General features: G+C 56.7%; 2 protein-coding genes across 29 annotated transcripts, besides 6 other annotated features; one reads left to right on the plus strand and one right to left on the minus strand.

Annotated features, from left to right (window-relative positions):
• Window positions 1–1,133: 1,133 nt before the first annotated feature.
• FBXO2 (F-box protein 2) lies at window positions 1,134–7,176 on the minus strand. Its single transcript, NM_012168.6, has 6 exons — window positions 7,066–7,176; window positions 3,213–3,581; window positions 2,692–2,821; window positions 2,526–2,621; window positions 1,834–1,972; window positions 1,134–1,575 (listed from the first exon to the last, which is right to left on the minus strand). Exons 1-6 carry the CDS (start codon window positions 7,085–7,087, stop codon window positions 1,441–1,443), a joined length of 891 nt encoding a protein of 296 aa, NP_036300.2. The 5' UTR covers window positions 7,088–7,176; the 3' UTR covers window positions 1,134–1,440.
• Window positions 2,479–3,187: an enhancer, noted in NCBI's record as "H3K4me1 hESC enhancer chr1:11709789-11710497 (GRCh37/hg19 assembly coordinates)". NCBI's record gives its function as "activates a minimal SCP1, AML or CMV promoter by ChIP-STARR-seq in primed H9 embryonic stem cells {active_cell/tissue: H9 hESC(primed)}" and the evidence as "EXISTENCE:reporter gene assay evidence [ECO:0000049][PMID:30033119]".
• Window positions 3,188–3,895: an enhancer, noted in NCBI's record as "H3K4me1 hESC enhancer chr1:11710498-11711205 (GRCh37/hg19 assembly coordinates)". NCBI's record gives its function as "activates a minimal SCP1, AML or CMV promoter by ChIP-STARR-seq in primed H9 embryonic stem cells {active_cell/tissue: H9 hESC(primed)}" and the evidence as "EXISTENCE:reporter gene assay evidence [ECO:0000049][PMID:30033119]".
• Window positions 7,126–7,265: a silencer, noted in NCBI's record as "silent region_265". NCBI's record gives its function as "represses an Ori minimal core promoter by ATAC-STARR-seq in GM12878 lymphoblastoid cells {active_cell/tissue: GM12878}" and the evidence as "EXISTENCE:reporter gene assay evidence [ECO:0000049][PMID:35858748]".
• On the plus strand, window positions 7,154–16,074 carry FBXO44 (F-box protein 44). 28 transcript variants are annotated; one of them, XR_007064917.1, is made up of 9 exons: window positions 7,624–7,699; window positions 8,075–8,446; window positions 8,553–8,847; window positions 11,014–11,140; window positions 11,280–11,375; window positions 11,483–11,618; window positions 13,877–14,055; window positions 15,372–15,427; window positions 15,563–16,074. XR_007064917.1 is itself a non-coding variant. In XM_047434637.1 (8 exons), the coding sequence occupies exons 3-7, from the start codon at window positions 8,583–8,585 to the stop codon at window positions 14,018–14,020; spliced, it is 768 nt and encodes a 255-aa protein (XP_047290593.1). In that variant the 5' UTR covers window positions 7,624–7,699; window positions 8,075–8,446; window positions 8,553–8,582; the 3' UTR covers window positions 14,021–14,055; window positions 15,372–16,074. The 28 variants fall into 28 exon arrangements, 22 of the variants coding, with proteins under 22 accessions (XP_047290608.1, XP_011540737.1, NP_001291720.1 ...); XR_007064914.1 differs by lacking the exon at window positions 8,075–8,446; XR_007064913.1 differs by lacking the exon at window positions 8,075–8,446 and having other exon boundaries at window positions 11,014–11,111.
• Window positions 7,506–7,735: a silencer, noted in NCBI's record as "silent region_266". NCBI's record gives its function as "represses an Ori minimal core promoter by ATAC-STARR-seq in GM12878 lymphoblastoid cells {active_cell/tissue: GM12878}" and the evidence as "EXISTENCE:reporter gene assay evidence [ECO:0000049][PMID:35858748]".
• Window positions 7,786–7,855: a silencer, noted in NCBI's record as "silent region_267". NCBI's record gives its function as "represses an Ori minimal core promoter by ATAC-STARR-seq in GM12878 lymphoblastoid cells {active_cell/tissue: GM12878}" and the evidence as "EXISTENCE:reporter gene assay evidence [ECO:0000049][PMID:35858748]".
• Window positions 10,724–11,923: an enhancer, noted in NCBI's record as "BRD4-independent group 4 enhancer chr1:11718034-11719233 (GRCh37/hg19 assembly coordinates)". NCBI's record gives its function as "activates an origin of replication core promoter dependent on BRD2, P300/CBP, MED14 and CDK7 cofactors, and independent of BRD4, by STARR-seq in HCT116 cells {active_cell/tissue: HCT116}" and the evidence as "EXISTENCE:reporter gene assay evidence [ECO:0000049][PMID:35650434]".
• Window positions 16,075–16,509: the final 435 nt, after the last annotated feature.

The raw sequence follows: 16,509 nt of genomic DNA on the forward strand, positions 1-16,509 counted from the left end.
CCACACATGACCTGGCCTGGGGTTGGGGCTCTGGGAATTGTAAATAAATGAACTAGTGAATGAATAAACAATTGCAGGCAGGCCCCAGCTTGAACCCTGCAATCCCACCAGAACAGCAGGTAGCATCAGGGTTCAGAACCGAGGCAAAGCTGGAGACTCTCGGTGATTTTACTGGTCTCCATTTCAGGAGAGGAGGGCAGAGGGTTCCAGGCCCTTCAAATGCCCACCCCTAGGACCAGCAGCTGACAGTCTTTGGAAGGGGCTGGGTCGGCCGGAAGGAGCGTGCCGGAGCACAGAGTCTGGCACAAGACCCTCCCCACCTCCCCTCCCCCAGGCCAAAGCCTGGGCCAACCTCTGGGCCAGGTTTGGAAAAGGGCCAATGAGACCAGATGCTAATGACTCCAGGGGGTGGGCACGAACTAAGAGAAACCCCAAACCAATCCTTTTTGTGCTTCCCCATCCCCACCTCCCATCCCCTACCCCAGGCCCCTCACCTCCATCCCTGGGCCCAAGAGAACTGGTACCCTAGACCCTAGCACAGTCCACACCCACCCCAGTTGCCAATCAGACAAAGGAACTGACACCTTGCCCTAGGGGCCCAGCTTGATGAAGGGCTGTGGAGGTTTGGGGAAGGTGAGGACGCTATGGACTAAGTTAAGGCCTATCTACTCCCAGCCTCTACCCTTCCAAGCAGCTGGGGGAGGGTGGAAGCAGGGCCGCTCAGGGCTCTACCCACATGCTGCTATTGGTCACCCGGGCCCTGAGAACTGGTACACCCCCAACCCCACTCTGCCTTTAGTAAAGGATGGGGGGTCATAGCAAGGCTTAGGATACTCACTGGACCAAGAGAGGCCTGGAGGGCAGCCCCCCCGCCAACATGCCCTATTCTGGCCTCTGGGCAGCTTGGGTGTCGGTCAGGCGCCAGGCTCAGCTCAACCTTCCTTGGTCTCACAATCCCAGCTTTGTCCTCCCTGGCAAGGCCGGGCCCAGCTGACTCCATACTGGCCCAAGGTCCGCTGGAAACCAGAGCAGCTGGAGCCCTACCAAGTATTTTTCCAGGCTATGCCGGGGGCCCTCAGGAGACAGAAAAGGATGGGAAGGGAGCAGTGTTTATCCATTTTTTCATTCATTCCTTCCTTGGACAAATAATATTTATTGAGAGCCCACTTTGTGGCAAGCACTGTGCTAGGTGCAGGGAATCAGCAGTGGGTCCAGTCCAAGCTCACGCCCTCACGGATCTACATTCTAGAAGCCGGCTACCTAAGCAAACCTATGCCAACAAAACTTCTCTCTCCCTGCTCAGGGGCTGGGATCGGAGCAAGGGATGGGAGGAGGATGTGTGGCTTGGGGAAGGTGAGGACGCTATGGACTAAGTTAAGGCCTATCTACCCTCGACCTTTGCCCCTCCAGGCAGCTGGGGGAGAGTGGAGGCAGGGTCGCTCAGGGTTCTACCCACACGCTGCTGTTGGTCACCCGGGCCCCGAACCAGCCCTTCCAGTAGACGGAGTCCTGCCCCCCGTGCTCGAAGCGGACGAAGCGGACGCCCGGCCCGTAGTCGGTGAAGGTGTGGGAGATCTGGGGGTGGAGGTAACAAGAGTCAGCCTCGGAGGTCCTGAGGCCTCTCCTGCCGCCCCACCCCGGTACACCGACCGACCTGCAGCTCCCCCACTCGGTTTCTCCGCGGTATTCAGAACTCTCTCCACCACCCGGTGACTATCTCAGCCCAGCCCAGCCCAGCCCACCCCAGCCCAGGAGCGCTGTGGGCGGGGTCTCCTCGAGCCACGCCCCTCATGTCCGTGCCCCACCCCTCCGCCCTGGGTCCCCCAGGCTCACCTCCATCCAGCCCCCGCCGTCACTGTCTTGGGGCACTGCCACCTGCCCGCTGCTGAACTCAGCCAGCACGTTCTCGTGCTCGGACAGTAGCTTAACGGTGAGCTCGTAGAGGCAACCAGCGTCGCTGCGGCCCGAGTACCTGCTCAGAGGGAGGGAGCGAGGTGGGGGGCGGGAGGTGGGGTGGGGGCATGGCCTCAGCCCTGCTGAACACGTCCTGGGGATGGGGATTTCCACAAAAGTCCTCCTGTGCGCCCAACATCCCTGTCAGCCAGCACTGCCAGTGTTCCCAGTTTACAGATAAGGGAAACGAGGCCAGCAAGAGAAAGTGACAGCCCACGAGCGAAACACGAGGACTACATTCCAAGTTGGCCAGACCCCAGCTTGGGGCCAAAGCCAGTCCACAGAGTGGCCTTTGGTTTGGACCGCAGACTGATTTTGAAATATATACATTACATATATACAAACATATATATGTGCATATATTTGCCAACATTTAAAACTCAGGAGGGGAGGTGGGTTTCCAGGTTCTCCTGCAAACACGGAAGTTGTCAACCTTTGCAGACCCGTGGCCCACGTGGCCTCAACCCCTGCAGTGGGGAGGCAGCACCCCCAGGCGGGGGGTTCCCCAGCTGGCTCTCCCCTCTGCCTTACCCCGCTCCTCCCAGCCCCATGCCACCCCAGGACCCTCTCACCAGTCCTTCACCACGATGGCCGGCTGAGTCGTGTCCAGCAGCTCCTCCCAGTAGCCCTCAGCCTGCAGGTCAATGACCTGTGCTTTGCGACACCACCTGGGAGAACTGGAGTTAGGACAGAGCGAACGCTCCCCCCTTCCCACCTCCTCCACCCCCTTCTCCTTACTCAAAGGAGGAGGCGAAGTACTTCTTGACGCTCTCATCGTGGGTGAACTCCACCCCACTGTCTCCAGGCAGCTCCTCCACCCTCCAGCCGTCCCCACCATGCTCCACGTCACACCAGCCTTCCAAGTCCTCTGTAGGGACACGACAGCCCCACCCTGGTCACTCAGTCCCTGCTAAGGCTGGCTCTTGCCACTATGTGGTGGGGGGCAGGGCAAAGGTCGCACTTGGTGTCTTGGTGGGCAGATGATGAATGAGAGGGTGGACCAGTGGGCAGTTTCTAAATCTGCCTCCCGGGAGGTATGTCCCCCATCCCGCCCTGCCCCAGCTGGCTGAGGGTGGGAGGACCCGGGAGACCCCAGGGCACAGGTGGCCAGAGAGCTACAGTAATAGACAGCCTTGGGGCTACCCAGTGCTGGCACTGAGCCAGGCGCTTAATCCCATTTCTCCCTCAAAGCCAGGCGGCGCCGTTTCGGCCCATTTCGCAGCAGGGGAAGCTGAGCTCGCCCAGCGAGGGCCTCTCACCTTCCCCACACGGGTTACGCAGAAGGTTGCGGCGCCGCTTGCTCAGGAAGTAGAACTGCTGCCAGTGGTCGCGCTCCTCCTCCACGCCGCCCTCGGGCACCAGCCCCTCCTGCTGGCACTTGAGCAGCCACAGCGGGGCGCCGTCCACCAGCTCCTTCCAGCGCAGGCACACCAGGCGGCAGGCCTGCACCAGCTCGGCGGCCGGCAGTGCGGCCAGCACGCGCAGCAGCAGCGGCTCGGGCAGCTCGTCCAGGTACGCGGCGGCGGCCGCCGCCTCCTCCTCCTGCTGGTCCTCCGGCCGCTCCTCCTCAGCACTCGCCTCCTCTGGCTGCTCCTCCGGGCTTGCCTCCTCGGGCTGGCCCACGCTCTCTGCAGGCAGGGATGGGTGGGAGGCTGTGATTCCTCCACCCTGTACTCCTCCAGGCCCCAGGACTGCAATGTGCCCGTAACCTCCCCCACCCACCGTGGGACAATCCACAGCTGGGGCCGGAGATTCTGTGACTCCATACTGGTGCCCAAGGAGGAGGGCCACAAGGCCACAGACCAACCCCGGATCAGCCCCTAAGTCCAAAGAGGTGCCTCAGAGGCCTATTTCCTCTGCTGGACCAGTAAACCCCACGCCTGGGCAGATGGCAACAAGGATCATATTATTATTATTAATGGCATCCATCTATAGCACTGCACAGTGCTTCACACAGGAACTTCTTTCTTCCTCCCAACCACCCTCTGAGATTCCTGCTCCCCTCACCTCCTCAGGAAGCCTTCCGGGACTTCCCCCTATGACACCCTCTCACAGCCCTTCCTAGCTTTTGTCCTGGGGTGTGATCCTGTGATAAACGCCTGTCTCTGGACCATACGGAGCCTTATAAGGGCCAGAACATGGTCTGGAAAACACACAGCTTCATGCCCTGTGCCTGGCATCTGGCACTTTCCTGGTCTGTTGTCAGGAACTCATGTTTTGGGGGCACTCATCAAGTGTTAGGCACCGTCCAAAGCATTTCAACTTCATTTACTCTTTAAATCCTCATACCACTTCTTTGAGGTTGCTCTTATTGCTGTTCTTATTGCATTGATGAGGAAACTGAGGCACAGAGAGGTGAAACGGCCCAGGATCACACGGCTAATCAGTGGTTGGAGCCTGGATTTGAACCCAGACAGCCTGGCTCCAGAGCCATCTTAAACCACCACAGCCTCCACAGAATAATTCACTGAATTAGTAGGCAGTGTTAGGATTTTGACTTTTTTTTTTTTTTTGATATGGAGTCTCGCTTGCTCTGTCACTGCTCAATCTCAGCTCACTGCAACCTCTGCCTCCCGGGTAGCTGGAAGCTGAGAAGCGATTCTTCTGCCTCAGCCTCCCAAGTACTGGGATGACAGGCATGTGCCACCACGCCTGGCTAATTTTTGTATTTTTAGTAGAGACTGGTTTCACCATGTTGGCATGGCTGGTCTCAAACTCCTGACCTCAGGTGATCCACCCGCCTCAGCCTCCCAAAGTGCTGGGATTAAAGGCGTCAGCCACCACGCCCGGCTGACTTTTCTTTTTAAAGATAGGGTCTCACTCTGTTGCTCAGGCTGACCTCCAACTCCTGGACTCAAGCAATCTTCCTGCCTCGGCCTCCTAAAGTTCTGGGATTACAGTCATGCTCCACTACACCCAGGCCAGGATTTTGACTTTGCAGGTGCAAATGCTCAGGCTCAGGGATGAAGTGACTTGTTGAAGGACACACTGCCAGTATTTAGGGAAGGGGACATGGGACCTGGGGCCTTCAGGGGCTGGAGAACAGAGCCTGGAGACCCAGCTGTCCCCAGCTATTGTGTGACTTGGGGATGAGGAGGGACTTATTAAAAGAAACTCTATCAAGCAAGGAGATGACATAGGGGCTTGGGGAAGGAAACTTTCTCCACCTCCTTTTCCCATCCGTGGCCCTCAGTTTTCTCATCTATAAAATGGGGGTAATCATTGTGCCAGGCCATACAAACAGGACAGACGTCCAAATCCCCTGAGGAAGGGGACAAGGGCATTCTGAATTGTAAGGAGGCAGGCAGATGTCACCGCGGCAGCCGGACTGTCTCTTGCATCCCAGTCGGCTTCAGCTGGGCCATCACAGCCTTGAGTAAGTGGACACCGAGTGCCCAAGATGCCTGGACGAGGGAGAGCCAGTGAGGAGGAGACGGGGCCACTCTGGGTGATCAGGAAGACTACAGCTCTCAGACCTACGGATGGGGAGTTCCCATGGGCTAGGCCCTGGAGAGCCAAGGCGGTGGTGGGAACAGGCCAGGCACTGGGGAAGGGGACAGGTGGCAGGACCCAGACCCAAGTCTCCAGGCCCACCAGCCCCTAACCTCCTCATATGCAGCCTCTCCTCCCTGCCCAACCCACAGTCAGGCCCTTGAGAGCTTTCACAGAGCCCAGAGCACACAGTGAGTCCTCAGTCAATCTTACTGAGTGAACCTCATTGAACACAGCACTTCTCCTTCCTTATTAACATTTTTTTGGCCACATCTTTATGATGTGGGGATTTACACCGGCCCCTTTGGCAAAGAGGAAACTGAGGCCAAAAAAGGCTTAACAGCTTCTCCCAGACCACATCGCAGAACGGCAGGAAGACAGAGGAAAATGCCAGGCCCTGAAGTCACATCACCTGCCCAGGCAGATGCCCACAGCTCTCTGGGGAGCTAGGCCCAGTGTCCTCACCTCTCCAGCCCTCCCTCCGGCCCTGGCCCCATCGGACACCTGATGCTCCCCGAAAGGTGCACCTCACCCAGTCCCCTCTTCTGGCCCCGGGGCCTGGCACTCGAGGCCCCAGATCCAATTACAGCTCCCCCCACCCTCTCTCTTACACACACAACTCCCCACATTGTTGCCGGCGGAAAGTTATCTGGCCCCTGGAAGCTGCCTGCCTGCGAGGCTGACTCACTCACCTGGAGTGGGCCCCAGAGTCCAGGGTATAGCTGATCCCTGGGAAAAAGCAGGAGCCAGTTCTGGAGCCCTACAGAGGGTGTGGCCAGAAGGCCGTGGATTGGGAGCAAGGGCTGCGAGAGCTGGAATTTTCAGGGCTGGAGGCGGGGGAATGGGGGGTGAGGGGGGGCCTGAGCTTTCATCAGTCTGTTTGCCACCGCCTAACCCAAGCAATGCCCATCCCCAGCTGGACCTGATGAGGAAAGAGTGAGGGCTGTCTGCAGGCAGGTCTTGTTTCCATCCTGACTCAGCAGGCAACCCCTGCAGGCCCCGCAGGGAGTTGGAGGGATGGGGGTGAGGGGTCTTGGGTGCCAGAGAGGATGACTGGGCAGCCTGGGAAGGCCCTGAGCACCAGCCAAAGCTGCCCCCAACGCTCCCTCACCGCTAGTCGGGTCCCCACTGGGCATCTCACCACCCCGGGGAGGGGCAGCCCCTCCAGACAAGGGAGCTCAGGAGGAAGGCAGGAATAGGTGAGGCCAGGCCTGGGACCCCAAGGAACCCACGGGGATTCAGACGGCCCAAGGCCCAGAGCTGGAAGAGCTGATGAAAGAAAAGGCTCGCAGCCTCCCTCCCAGACGCATCCCAGGCCCCCGCCAGACAGACCCTCAGGAAGCTGGGAGGCGGGAATGTGGGGGTCCTCTGGTGCTACTTCCTGGCTAAATGGGACCCAGGAGTTCTCTCTCCTTGCCAGTCGCCTCTCAAGGCCTCCCGCCAGACCAAGATAGCAGAGAGACGTGCTCTTTGGAGACCGCCTCTAGGGCTTCGCTGGCGTGAAAGTTTGCCGCGCCAGGTCTCCGGGTCCCCTCGCTCTCTGACGCCCCTCTGTGCAGCGCTCGCCCGCCGACCCCATCTCCCCTCCCCGCCGCAGCGAGCGGTCCAGGCGTCGGCTACCTGGGTCACCGTCTCCGTCCATCGCTGCGGAGGGCGGTCGCGAGAGGAGGAGCCGGAGCGCTGCGGGCTGCGCGAGTCCCGGGGCGGCGAGTCCCGGCGCTGTCCGCGTCTGTGTCGGTCCCGGCGACCGCGCCTCTTAAAGGCCCCCGACCCGACCCGCCCCGCCCCGCCTCTGGCCCCGCGCCCGGCCGCCCCGCAGTCCCAGCAGTCTGCTCGAGGCCCGGGGCTGCGGGTTCCTCAGCGGACCGAGGAGGCTGGGAAAGGTCAGGAGTCGTTTTTTTTCCAACTGGGGAGGGGTCCGATTTGGGGCATCTCGCAGCTCGCTCCTGGGGGACTGCTGGGAGGAGGCGGCTAGGGGAGGCACGGAGAGGCTGGGTCAGGCCGAGGGTGAGGGGCGGGTGGCCCAGGCGGAGTCGGAGTATAGGAGGTGCCTTCCGCCCCACCCCCCACACCAGGTAATTTTCCTACGACGCGGTGGGGGTGCGTCCCTGGCCCAGCGCTGCGCGGGGCGGGGCGCGGGGCGCGGGGGCGGGGCCTGGCGGGCCGGGGCGGGGCCTCGCTTTCCAGGCAAGCGCAGGTCCAGGCGGTGCAGCTTGGGCGGCCCAACGGATCGTGCCGCGGCGGCCGAGCGCAGGTGACCGGCAGGAGGGGGCGCGGGGGGCGCTGGGGAGGGGGCGCGGCTGGGCGGGGGCTGCCGGGAAGGCTCCTGGGTTCCGGGTCGCGCCGCAGTTGCCGAGGGAGGCCTGGCACCGACCAGGCCCAGGCCGCCGAGCTTGCCCGGGCTGCGCTGCGCGGCTGCGAACGGGGGCTGGGGTCGCCATCGATGTACAGGGGTCCGAGCCCAGACTTTGGGGGGCATTTTAAGGCACAGCGTGGGAAGGGGAGGCTGCAGGCGCGCTGGCGGACTTGGGGCTGGCGGAGCCCAGCCGCGGGGCTGGGGGTGGGAGTGGGGGTGGGGAGATAGGAAGGGCCCTTCCCTGTCGCCCACCCTCTTGCCACTCCCACCTAGGCAGGAGATCATGTCCTCTGAGATCTTGAGAAGGTGGCTGGAGCCCTTTGGACCTCCGCGGGAGGCAGTGATAATTAGCCTCCTCCTCCCATCATGTTCTGAGGATGGGAGAGAGGATGGTGACGGCACCGGAGGCCTGGGGTGCTCTGCCCGGCTGCGCATTATATCCCCATTAAAGACTGGCCTACTGAAAAAGGCTGGCCCTGGAATCAAAGAAGATCCGGGCTTCTTCCCCCTCTGCCCTTATTTTTGACCTTGGGCAGTGCCTTCCACCTCTATTGTGAGAGGCCAGAGAAAAAAATCAGAGCTCACCTTTTATTAAAGTACCTGATGTGTCCCAAGCTCCTTGGACCGCCCCAGTGACCCCTGGAGGTAAGGCATCCATTTACAGAGAAGGAAACAGGCTGGGAGAGGCACCATGCTCTCCCGAGATAAATGGCAGAGCAGGGATGAGGCCTGCAGCATAGCTTTTCAACAGCTACAGGAGGGTGTCCAGAAGCCACAAGCCATGGCTGTGGGGAACATCAACGAGCTGCCCGAGAACATCCTGCTGGAGCTGTTCACGCACGTGCCCGCCCGCCAGCTGCTGCTGAACTGCCGCCTGGTCTGCAGCCTCTGGCGGGACCTCATCGACCTCGTGACCCTCTGGAAACGCAAGTGCCTGCGAGAGGGCTTCATCACTGAGGACTGGGACCAGCCCGTGGCCGACTGGAAGATCTTCTACTTCTTACGGAGCCTGCACAGGAACCTCCTGCACAACCCGTGCGCTGAAGGTGGGGTACAGGCCGGGTCTGGCATGCCTCCAGTACACAGTCATGACACCAGGAACATGTATTGAGCACTTAGTATGAGCCGGGTACTTTGGATGGTTTAACACCTTTACTTCTCTCACAGTAACCCAAAGAGGTAGCTACTGTTAGTGCACACATTTTTCAGATGGGCAAACTGAGGCCAAGAGTGGTGTTTCTTATTCTTACTATACTCTTTTTTTTTTTTTTTTTTTTTTGAGACGGAGTTTCACTCTGTCACCCAGGCTGGAGTACAGTGACACAATCTTGGCTCACTGTAACCTCCACCTCCCAAGTTCAGCCTCCCAAGTAGCTGGGATTACAGGCATGTGCCACCACACCTGGCTAATTTTTTTTTTTTTTTTAGATGGAGTCTCGCTCTGTTGCCCAAGCTGGAGTGCAATGGTGCGATCTCGGCTCACTGCAACCTCCACCTCCTGGGTTCAAGCGATTCTCCTGCCTCAGCCTCCCGAGTAGCTGGGATTACCGGTGCCCGCCACCACGCCCAGCTAATTTTTTGTATTTTTAATAGAGACACAGTTTCACCATGTTGGCCAGGCTGGTCTCAAACTCCTGGCCTCAGGTGATCTGCCCGCCTTGGCCTCCCAAAGTGCTGGGATTACACGCATGAGCCACCGCGCCCGGCCTCTTATTCTGCTCTTAAGATTATTTCCCCAGTGACCTTTCCTAGGCGAGGGAATGTTGGCCAACTGAGACTAATTCTGCTCAAGACACAAGGCCAGGAAGTCAGAGCCATATTTTGTTGGCCTAGTTTCTAGGCTCCAGGGTTGGGCCTACTGACATGGTCCCAGAAGGCCAAAGGGGTTTTGCTTGTGGAAGAATGGGAGATCCAGTCGTCTTCTCAGTATGTTACAACAACAGGTAAAGCAAGGCTTCCACTGATCCTTGCTTGCTGTGTTGTTGGGTTGACACTGGGATGGCATGGGAACCTCATTTTCCACAACATGACCAAATTCTGGAGCAAAATGATAATAAAACCACTCCTCCAAGCTGTGCATGAGCCAAATCTGGCTGAGGCATTAATAATTGTTCTAATAATTGTTTTTACATTTTTAAAGTGTTATAAAAAGAAGAAGAAGAAACAACAAAAAACTATACAATAGAGATAGTTTATGGCCCACAATTCCTACAATATTTTCGCACTTTGCCAAAAAAGCTTCCCAGCCCCTATTCTTAACTCCAGTTTACAGAGGAGACAACTGAGGCTCAGAGAGGAAAAGCAACTGGCCTGAGGTCACACAGCTGAGTACTGGTAGAGCTGGGACTAGACCCAGGTCTGTCTGGCCCACATCAGAGCTTTGTCCATCACAGAAGGCAGCTGGGCTGGGTGCAGTGGCTCACACCTGTAATCCCAGCACTTTGGGAGGCCAAGGTGGGTGGATCATCTGAGGTCAGGAGATCGAGACCAGCTTGGCCAACATGGCGAAACACCATCTCTACAAAAAAATACAAACATTAACCAGGTGTGGTGGCATGCACCTGTAATCCCAGCTACTCGGGAGGCTGAAGCAGGAGAATCACTGGAACCCAGGAGGCAGAGGTTACAGTGAGCTGAGATCGAGCCATTGCACTCCAGCCTGGGTGACGAGCGAAACCCTATCTCAAAAAACAAAAACAAAAAAAAAGATTTGTGTTTTTAAGGGGTTATAGGAAAAGAAACAACAACAAAAAAACTATACAATAGAGATAGTATGTGGGCCACAAGTCCTAAAACATTTTGGCACTTTGCCAAAAATGCTTCTCAGCCCCTATTCTTACTCCAGTTTACAGAGGAGACGACCAAGGGTCAGAGAGGAAAAGCAACTGGTCCAAGGTCAGACAACCGAGTACTGGTAGAGCTGGGACTAGACCCAGGTCTGTCTGGCCCACATCAGAGCGTTCTCCATCACAGAAGAGGTCTGGTCATTTCCATCACCATGTGTCTCAGGGCCCCCAGGGAAGTCACCTCCCTGTGCCTGCAACACAGGAAGCACCTAATACGCGGTGGGCACTGTGATCTGCAGCGTCCCACAGCACAGGGCTTGAGGGCAGCCGCCAAGATGCAGGCAGAGGAGTGGGGAGGAAGGGGCATTTGGGAGAAGGCGGCCACTGAGGGGCTTCCCTTCAGTGTGAACTCTGCTTTTCCATCAGAGGGGTTCGAGTTCTGGAGCCTGGATGTGAATGGAGGCGATGAGTGGAAGGTGGAGGATCTCTCTCGAGACCAGAGGAAGGAATTCCCCAATGACCAGGTCAAGAAATACTTCGTTACTTCATATTAGTAAGATCCGGGGACTTGGGGTAGGGGAAAGCCCAAATCAATTTACCCTGGGGTCTCTCCCACCCTGGAAGGGGCAGTCCTAGCCCCTCACTGCCCTAGTGGTGAGCCCAGCCCCTCCCACCCCTCTGCCTGCCCCCAGCACCTGCCTCAAGTCCCAGGTGGTGGACCTCAAGGCCGAAGGGTATTGGGAGGAGCTGATGGATACCACACGGCCGGACATCGAGGTCAAGGACTGGTGAGTGCCTGGGGCGAGGGTCTGGGGTGGGGCATGCCAATCAGGCGCCCCACCCCCGCCCTGCCCCCAATCTCCGAGGCCCTGATGGGCCCTCCCTCTCCCTGCAGGTTCGCAGCCAGGCCAGATTGCGGGTCCAAGTACCAGCTGTGCGTTCAGCTCCTGTCGTCCGCGCACGCGCCTCTGGGGACCTTCCAGCCAGACCCGGCGACCATCCAGCAGAAGAGCGATGCCAAGTGGAGGGAGGTGCGTGGGCCTGGGGGACGGGGGCAGAGGCAGATCGTCCAAGGCTGAGGCTGTGGTCAGACGGGGCCTAGGTTCAGATCCAAGCTCTGCACCTTCTCACCTGTGCTTCCAATGCTCTGAGCTTCACTCGCTGTTTCTGTAAAATGGGTATATAGTGTTTCCCTCATAGAGCTCTGAAAGAAATCAGTGAAATGATGCTGGCAAAGCCAGGGCCAAAAAATATTCCAAAAGGTTGGCAGGGCGTAGTGGCTCACACCTGTAATCCCAGCACTTTGGGAGGCCCAGGTAGGCAGATCACCTGAGGTTGGGAGTTCGAGACCAGCCTGACCAACAGGGAGAAACCCCGTCTTTACTAAAAATACAAAATTACCCAGGCGTGGTGGCACATGCCAGCTACTTGGGAGGCTGAGGCAGAAGAATCGCTTGAATCCAGGAGGCGGAGGTTGCCGTGAGCCGAGATCGCGCCATTGCACTCCAGCCTGGGCAACAAGAGCGAAACTCCATCTCAACAAAAAAAGAAAAGAAAAGAAAAAAAATTCCAAAAGGTTGACTGACTGTTACTAATTACTAGTATTGATTACTACTGTTTTCTAGACTGGGGTCAGCAAATATTTGTTTGTTTGTTTGTTTGTTTTAATTTACTTAACATATTTTTAGGGACAGGGTCTCTGTCACCCAGGCTGGCGCATTCATAGCTCACTGCAGACTCAAACTCTTAGGCTCAAGTCATCCTCCTGCCTCAGCATCCTGAGTAGCTGGGAGTACAGGTGTGCACCACCACTAATTAAAAAAAAAATTTTTTTTTGTAGAGATGGAGTTTTGCTTTGTTGCCCAGGCTGGTCTCGCACTCCTGGCCTCAAGTCATCCTTCTGCCTCAGCCTCCCAAAGTGCTGGAACTACAGGCATGAGCCACTGTGCCCAGCCCTAGCAAATGTTTTCTTAAAATGGCGGATACGAATATTTTAGGCTTTGCAGGTCACATTGTCTCTGTCACAATTACTCAACTCTCCAACTCTGCTGTTGTGTGAAAACAGCTCTAGACAATATGTAAACGAATGGACATGGCTATGTTCCAGTAAAACTTTATTTATAAAAACAGGCAGTGGGCCTGCAGGCCATCGTTTGCCAACCCCAGCCCTGTCCAATAGAACTTTCTGTAGTGATAGAAATGGTCTGTGTCTATGCTATCCATAAGGTAGCCAGTAGCTACATGTGACCACTGAACAGTTAGTAAGAGCCAGTTCCTAGTACAACTGAGTACCTGAATTTTTTATTTCATCTAATTTTACTTAATTTTTTTTTCTTTTTTGAGACGGAGTCTCGCTCTGTCACCCAGGTTGGAGTGCAGTGACGCGATCTCAGCTCACCACAACCTCTGCCTCCCGGTTCAAACGATTCTCCTGCCTCAGCCTCCTGAGTAGCTGGGATTACAGGCATGCGCCACCACGCCAGCTAATTTTGTATTTTTAGTAGAGACGGGGTTTCTCCATGTTGGTCAGGCTGGTCTCCATCTCCCGACCTCAGGTGATCCACCCGCCTCAGCCTCCCAAAGTTCTGGGATTACAGGCATGAGCCACCGCGCCGGGCACTTTTACTTAATTTTAACCTAAATAATACATGTGCCCCGTGATGAGTATATTGGACATCCTTTGGCAGCTTGCAGTTTCTTTCCATTCCTTTGGGCTGAATGATAATCCTGTGGAGTAGACCAGCAGGATTTTGCTCCATTTTATAGATGAGGAAACTGAAGCACAGAGAAAGGAATTGGTCTGTCCCAAATCACAGAGTTCAAACTAGAACTCCACTGATTTCTAGCTGGCACCAAGAACTCAGCCCCTTCCTTGTTCCCCTGCCCCCCTCAGGCAGTGCCACACTCAGAGTCTGCTCCCACCCTTTTTGTTAAGGCTCATCTTTTATTTCTTTTGTTTTTTAGAGACACGGTCTCACTCTGTTGCCCAGGCTGGAGCGCAGTGACGTGATCACAGCTCACTGCAGTCTTGAACTCCTACTTTAGCCTGTACTCCTGCCTCAGCCTGCCTAGAACTACAGGCACACACCACCATGCCTGGCTAATTTTTTTTTTCTTGTAGAGATGGTATCTCACTCTCTGGTTTGCGACAAGACTAGTTGCAAACTCCTGGGCTCAAACAACCCTCCCACCTCAGCCTCCCAAAGTACTGGGATTCCCGGTGTGAGCCGCCACACCCAGCCTGAGTCAGCTCCCTTGACCTTTCTCCCCCCTCTACCTGCCCTGCCAGGTCTCCCACACATTCTCCAACTACCCGCCCGGCGTCCGCTACATCTGGTTTCAGCACGGCGGCGTGGACACTCATTACTGGGCCGGCTGGTACGGCCCGAGGGTCACCAACAGCAGCATCACCATCGGGCCCCCGCTGCCCTGACACCCCCTGAGCCCCCATCTGCTGAACCCTGACTGGTAAACAACTGCTGTCAGAAAAGGGCTGGGCTTGGGAAGGGGAGGTGGAGGCCAGGTGTCCCCAGACCTCTAACCCTTGCCCCTAGCAGCCTCTTCTTTGTGGAGCCTCTCAGTGTGGGCAGCCCTCGCATGCTGGGGTCGGGCCAGCTCTCCCCGAAAGGTCTTGACCTGAATGATGGCCGGGGAAGCCTGCGTGTGCCCCTTTCAGAGACGGAGCACCTGAGATGTGGGAGGTGCAGCATGTTCCCCTGGGCCCCTCAGAAAGTCGAGCTTGGAGGCCAGCCTGGATCTGTCTCTCCCTTCCCCTCCTGGGACCATTCTACCTGTGTTCTTTGACCCTCGGAGCAGGGACAGGCAAGACAACTGGCAAGCTTGCAGCTGCCCTGATGGTGCAGGTGCAGGGAGGTGACCATGTAACTCTGACCAATCTGGGAAGTGGAGGGTGGGCTCATGGGCCGTGCTCTGCCCCTGTCTGCTGCTCCCAGTCTCTCGCTCTGCCTGCCTGCTCAGAAGAGGTGGCTTTGGCCCAGAGGCTCAGGCCGGGACTGAGATGGACAGACCCAGGGTGGGGTGGGGTCCAGGTCGGGTGTGGACTGTCCTCACTGTCAGTGGAGCCCCAGAAGCTAGATGGGTACCAGGTGGGGTTAGGTTCCCAGAGGACTGAGGGAATCCTGTACAGGATGTCCCAGGGTAGATGGGGAGCAGGATTGGGACCTGCTCTGACAGCTGGACACATGAGCCCTGGATGAGTATGGTAGGGGGTTTGAAGAATCCCCTGTCCACCTCCCAAATCCAGGCCCGGCCCCCTCTGGCTTGGAGAGCATTCCAAGCCCCCACCCCACCCCTAGAACTGCCATTCCCAAGACCTCTGTCTCCCAGCCAACCACCCTTGGAACTTGCCTCTTGTCCTGCTGGAAAGATAGCAGTGTTCTCCTGACTTCGCCCTACTGCATGCAGCCAAATAAAAGGTGTGCCCAGTCTAACCTGTGCCCTGTGGTTTCTGGAAGGAAAGGCAGACTTTAGGTGGTCCTGCCTGGACCTGCAGATGGTACAATGGCATGGCTTCTGTCTAAGGTACAGAGGGGTTGGCATTTCAGGAACCAGGCCATCACAGAAACAGGTTCATGGGCAGACCCCTCAGTGAGCTGCAGGTATCTCACCTGGCAGCCGTCCAGTACTGCTGGCTTCCTCTGGAGGCCCAGCCACAGGCTGGGGTTGGGGTGTGTGGACATCTCTGGGCAGCTCTTGAGTCCACCTTGTGCCAGATCAGCAGTGCCACCCAGGCTCTGCCTCCTGGTGTTACTCTTTGCCAACAGCTTTACGGACATTGGATGAAGCCGAAGCATTTAGAATGGTGCCTGGCACACAGTTGGTGCGTGATATGGTTAAGCTTTGTGTCCCCACCCACATCTCATCTTGAATGGTAATCCTGGGTGTTTAGGGAGAGACCTGGTGGGAAGTGATTGGATTATGGGAGCGGTTTTCCCCCATGCTGTTCTCATGATAGTGAGTGAGTTCTCACGAGATCTGATGGTTTTACAAGTGACGGTTTCCCCGGCTCCCTCCTGCCGCCATGTGAAGAAGGTCGTTGCTTCCCCTTCACCTTCCACCACCATGATTGTAAGTTCCTTTTTTCTTTTCTTTTCTTTTTTTTTTTTTTTTTTTTGAGATGGAGTCTCGCTCTGTCGCCCAGGCTGGAGTGCAGTGGCGCAATCTCAGCTCACTGCAAGCTCTGCCTCCCAGGTTCGCGCCATTCACCTGCCTCAGCCTCTGGAGTAGCTGAGACTACAGGCGCCCACCACCATGCCCGGCTAATTTTGTTTGTATTTTTAGTAGAGATGGAGTTTCACCATGTTGGCCAGGGTGGTCTCAATCTCCTGACCTCGTGATCCACCCACCTCGACCTCCCAAAGTGCTGAGATTACAGGCGTGAGCCACCGCGCCCAGCGATTGTTTCTTGAGGCTTCCCCAGCCATATGGAACTATAAGTCAATTAAACCTCTTTCCTTTTATAAATCACCCAGTCTCGGGTATTTCTTTATAGCAGTGTGAACATGGACTATAATCCAGTGCTCAATAAGTACTCCTCACATTTAGCTATCTCAGTCAAGGGTGAGCTAGATAAGGGCTTTGGCCAGGGCAGGATCACCACCCACCAGCCCATGGCAAACTGCAAAAGGACGGCCTTCCACGGAGAACATGTAGCCCTGACTGCAATTAATGTGTCCTGGGCCAGTCCCCTTGTGCAGTACACAGCCTGCACAACCCTTGGTGGTTGCCTGAACAAGGTGCTTGCTAAATATTTGTTGACTGATGGAAGAAATTCATGAACTTAATCCTGATAAAAAACCTCAGAGGTTTTTTATTTTTTGAGACAAGGTCTGGCTCTGTCGCCCAGGCTGCAGTGCAGTGGTACAGTCTCCACTCACTGCAGCCTCCCAGGTTCAAGCGATT

The sequence above is a fragment of the Homo sapiens genome, chromosome 1 (genome assembly GCF_000001405.40).
Source record: "Homo sapiens chromosome 1, GRCh38.p14 Primary Assembly".
Classification (NCBI taxonomy): domain Eukaryota; kingdom Metazoa; phylum Chordata; class Mammalia; order Primates; family Hominidae; genus Homo; species Homo sapiens.

Bases quoted from the DNA above. Each gene is read 5' to 3' on its own strand.
- FBXO2 (NM_012168.6), bottom strand. From the start codon at position 7,087: ATGGACGGAGACGGTGACCCAG. The intron at 2,622-2,691 runs GTAAGGAGAAGG...CAGTTCTCCCAG, and splicing joins TACTTCGCCTCCTCCTTTGA to GTGGTGTCGCAAAGCACAGG. The intron at 1,576-1,833 runs GTGAGCCTGGGG...CTCCACCCCCAG, and splicing joins ACGGCGGGGGCTGGATGGAG to ATCTCCCACACCTTCACCGA.
- FBXO44 (XM_011542435.2), top strand. From the start codon at position 8,583: ATGGCTGTGGGGAACATCAACGAGCTGCCCGAGAACATCCTGCTGGAG. The intron at 11,376-11,482 runs GTGAGTGCCTGG...CTCTCCCTGCAG, and splicing joins GACATCGAGGTCAAGGACTG to GTTCGCAGCCAGGCCAGATT. The intron at 11,619-13,876 runs GTGCGTGGGCCT...CTGCCCTGCCAG, and splicing joins GCGATGCCAAGTGGAGGGAG to GTCTCCCACACATTCTCCAA.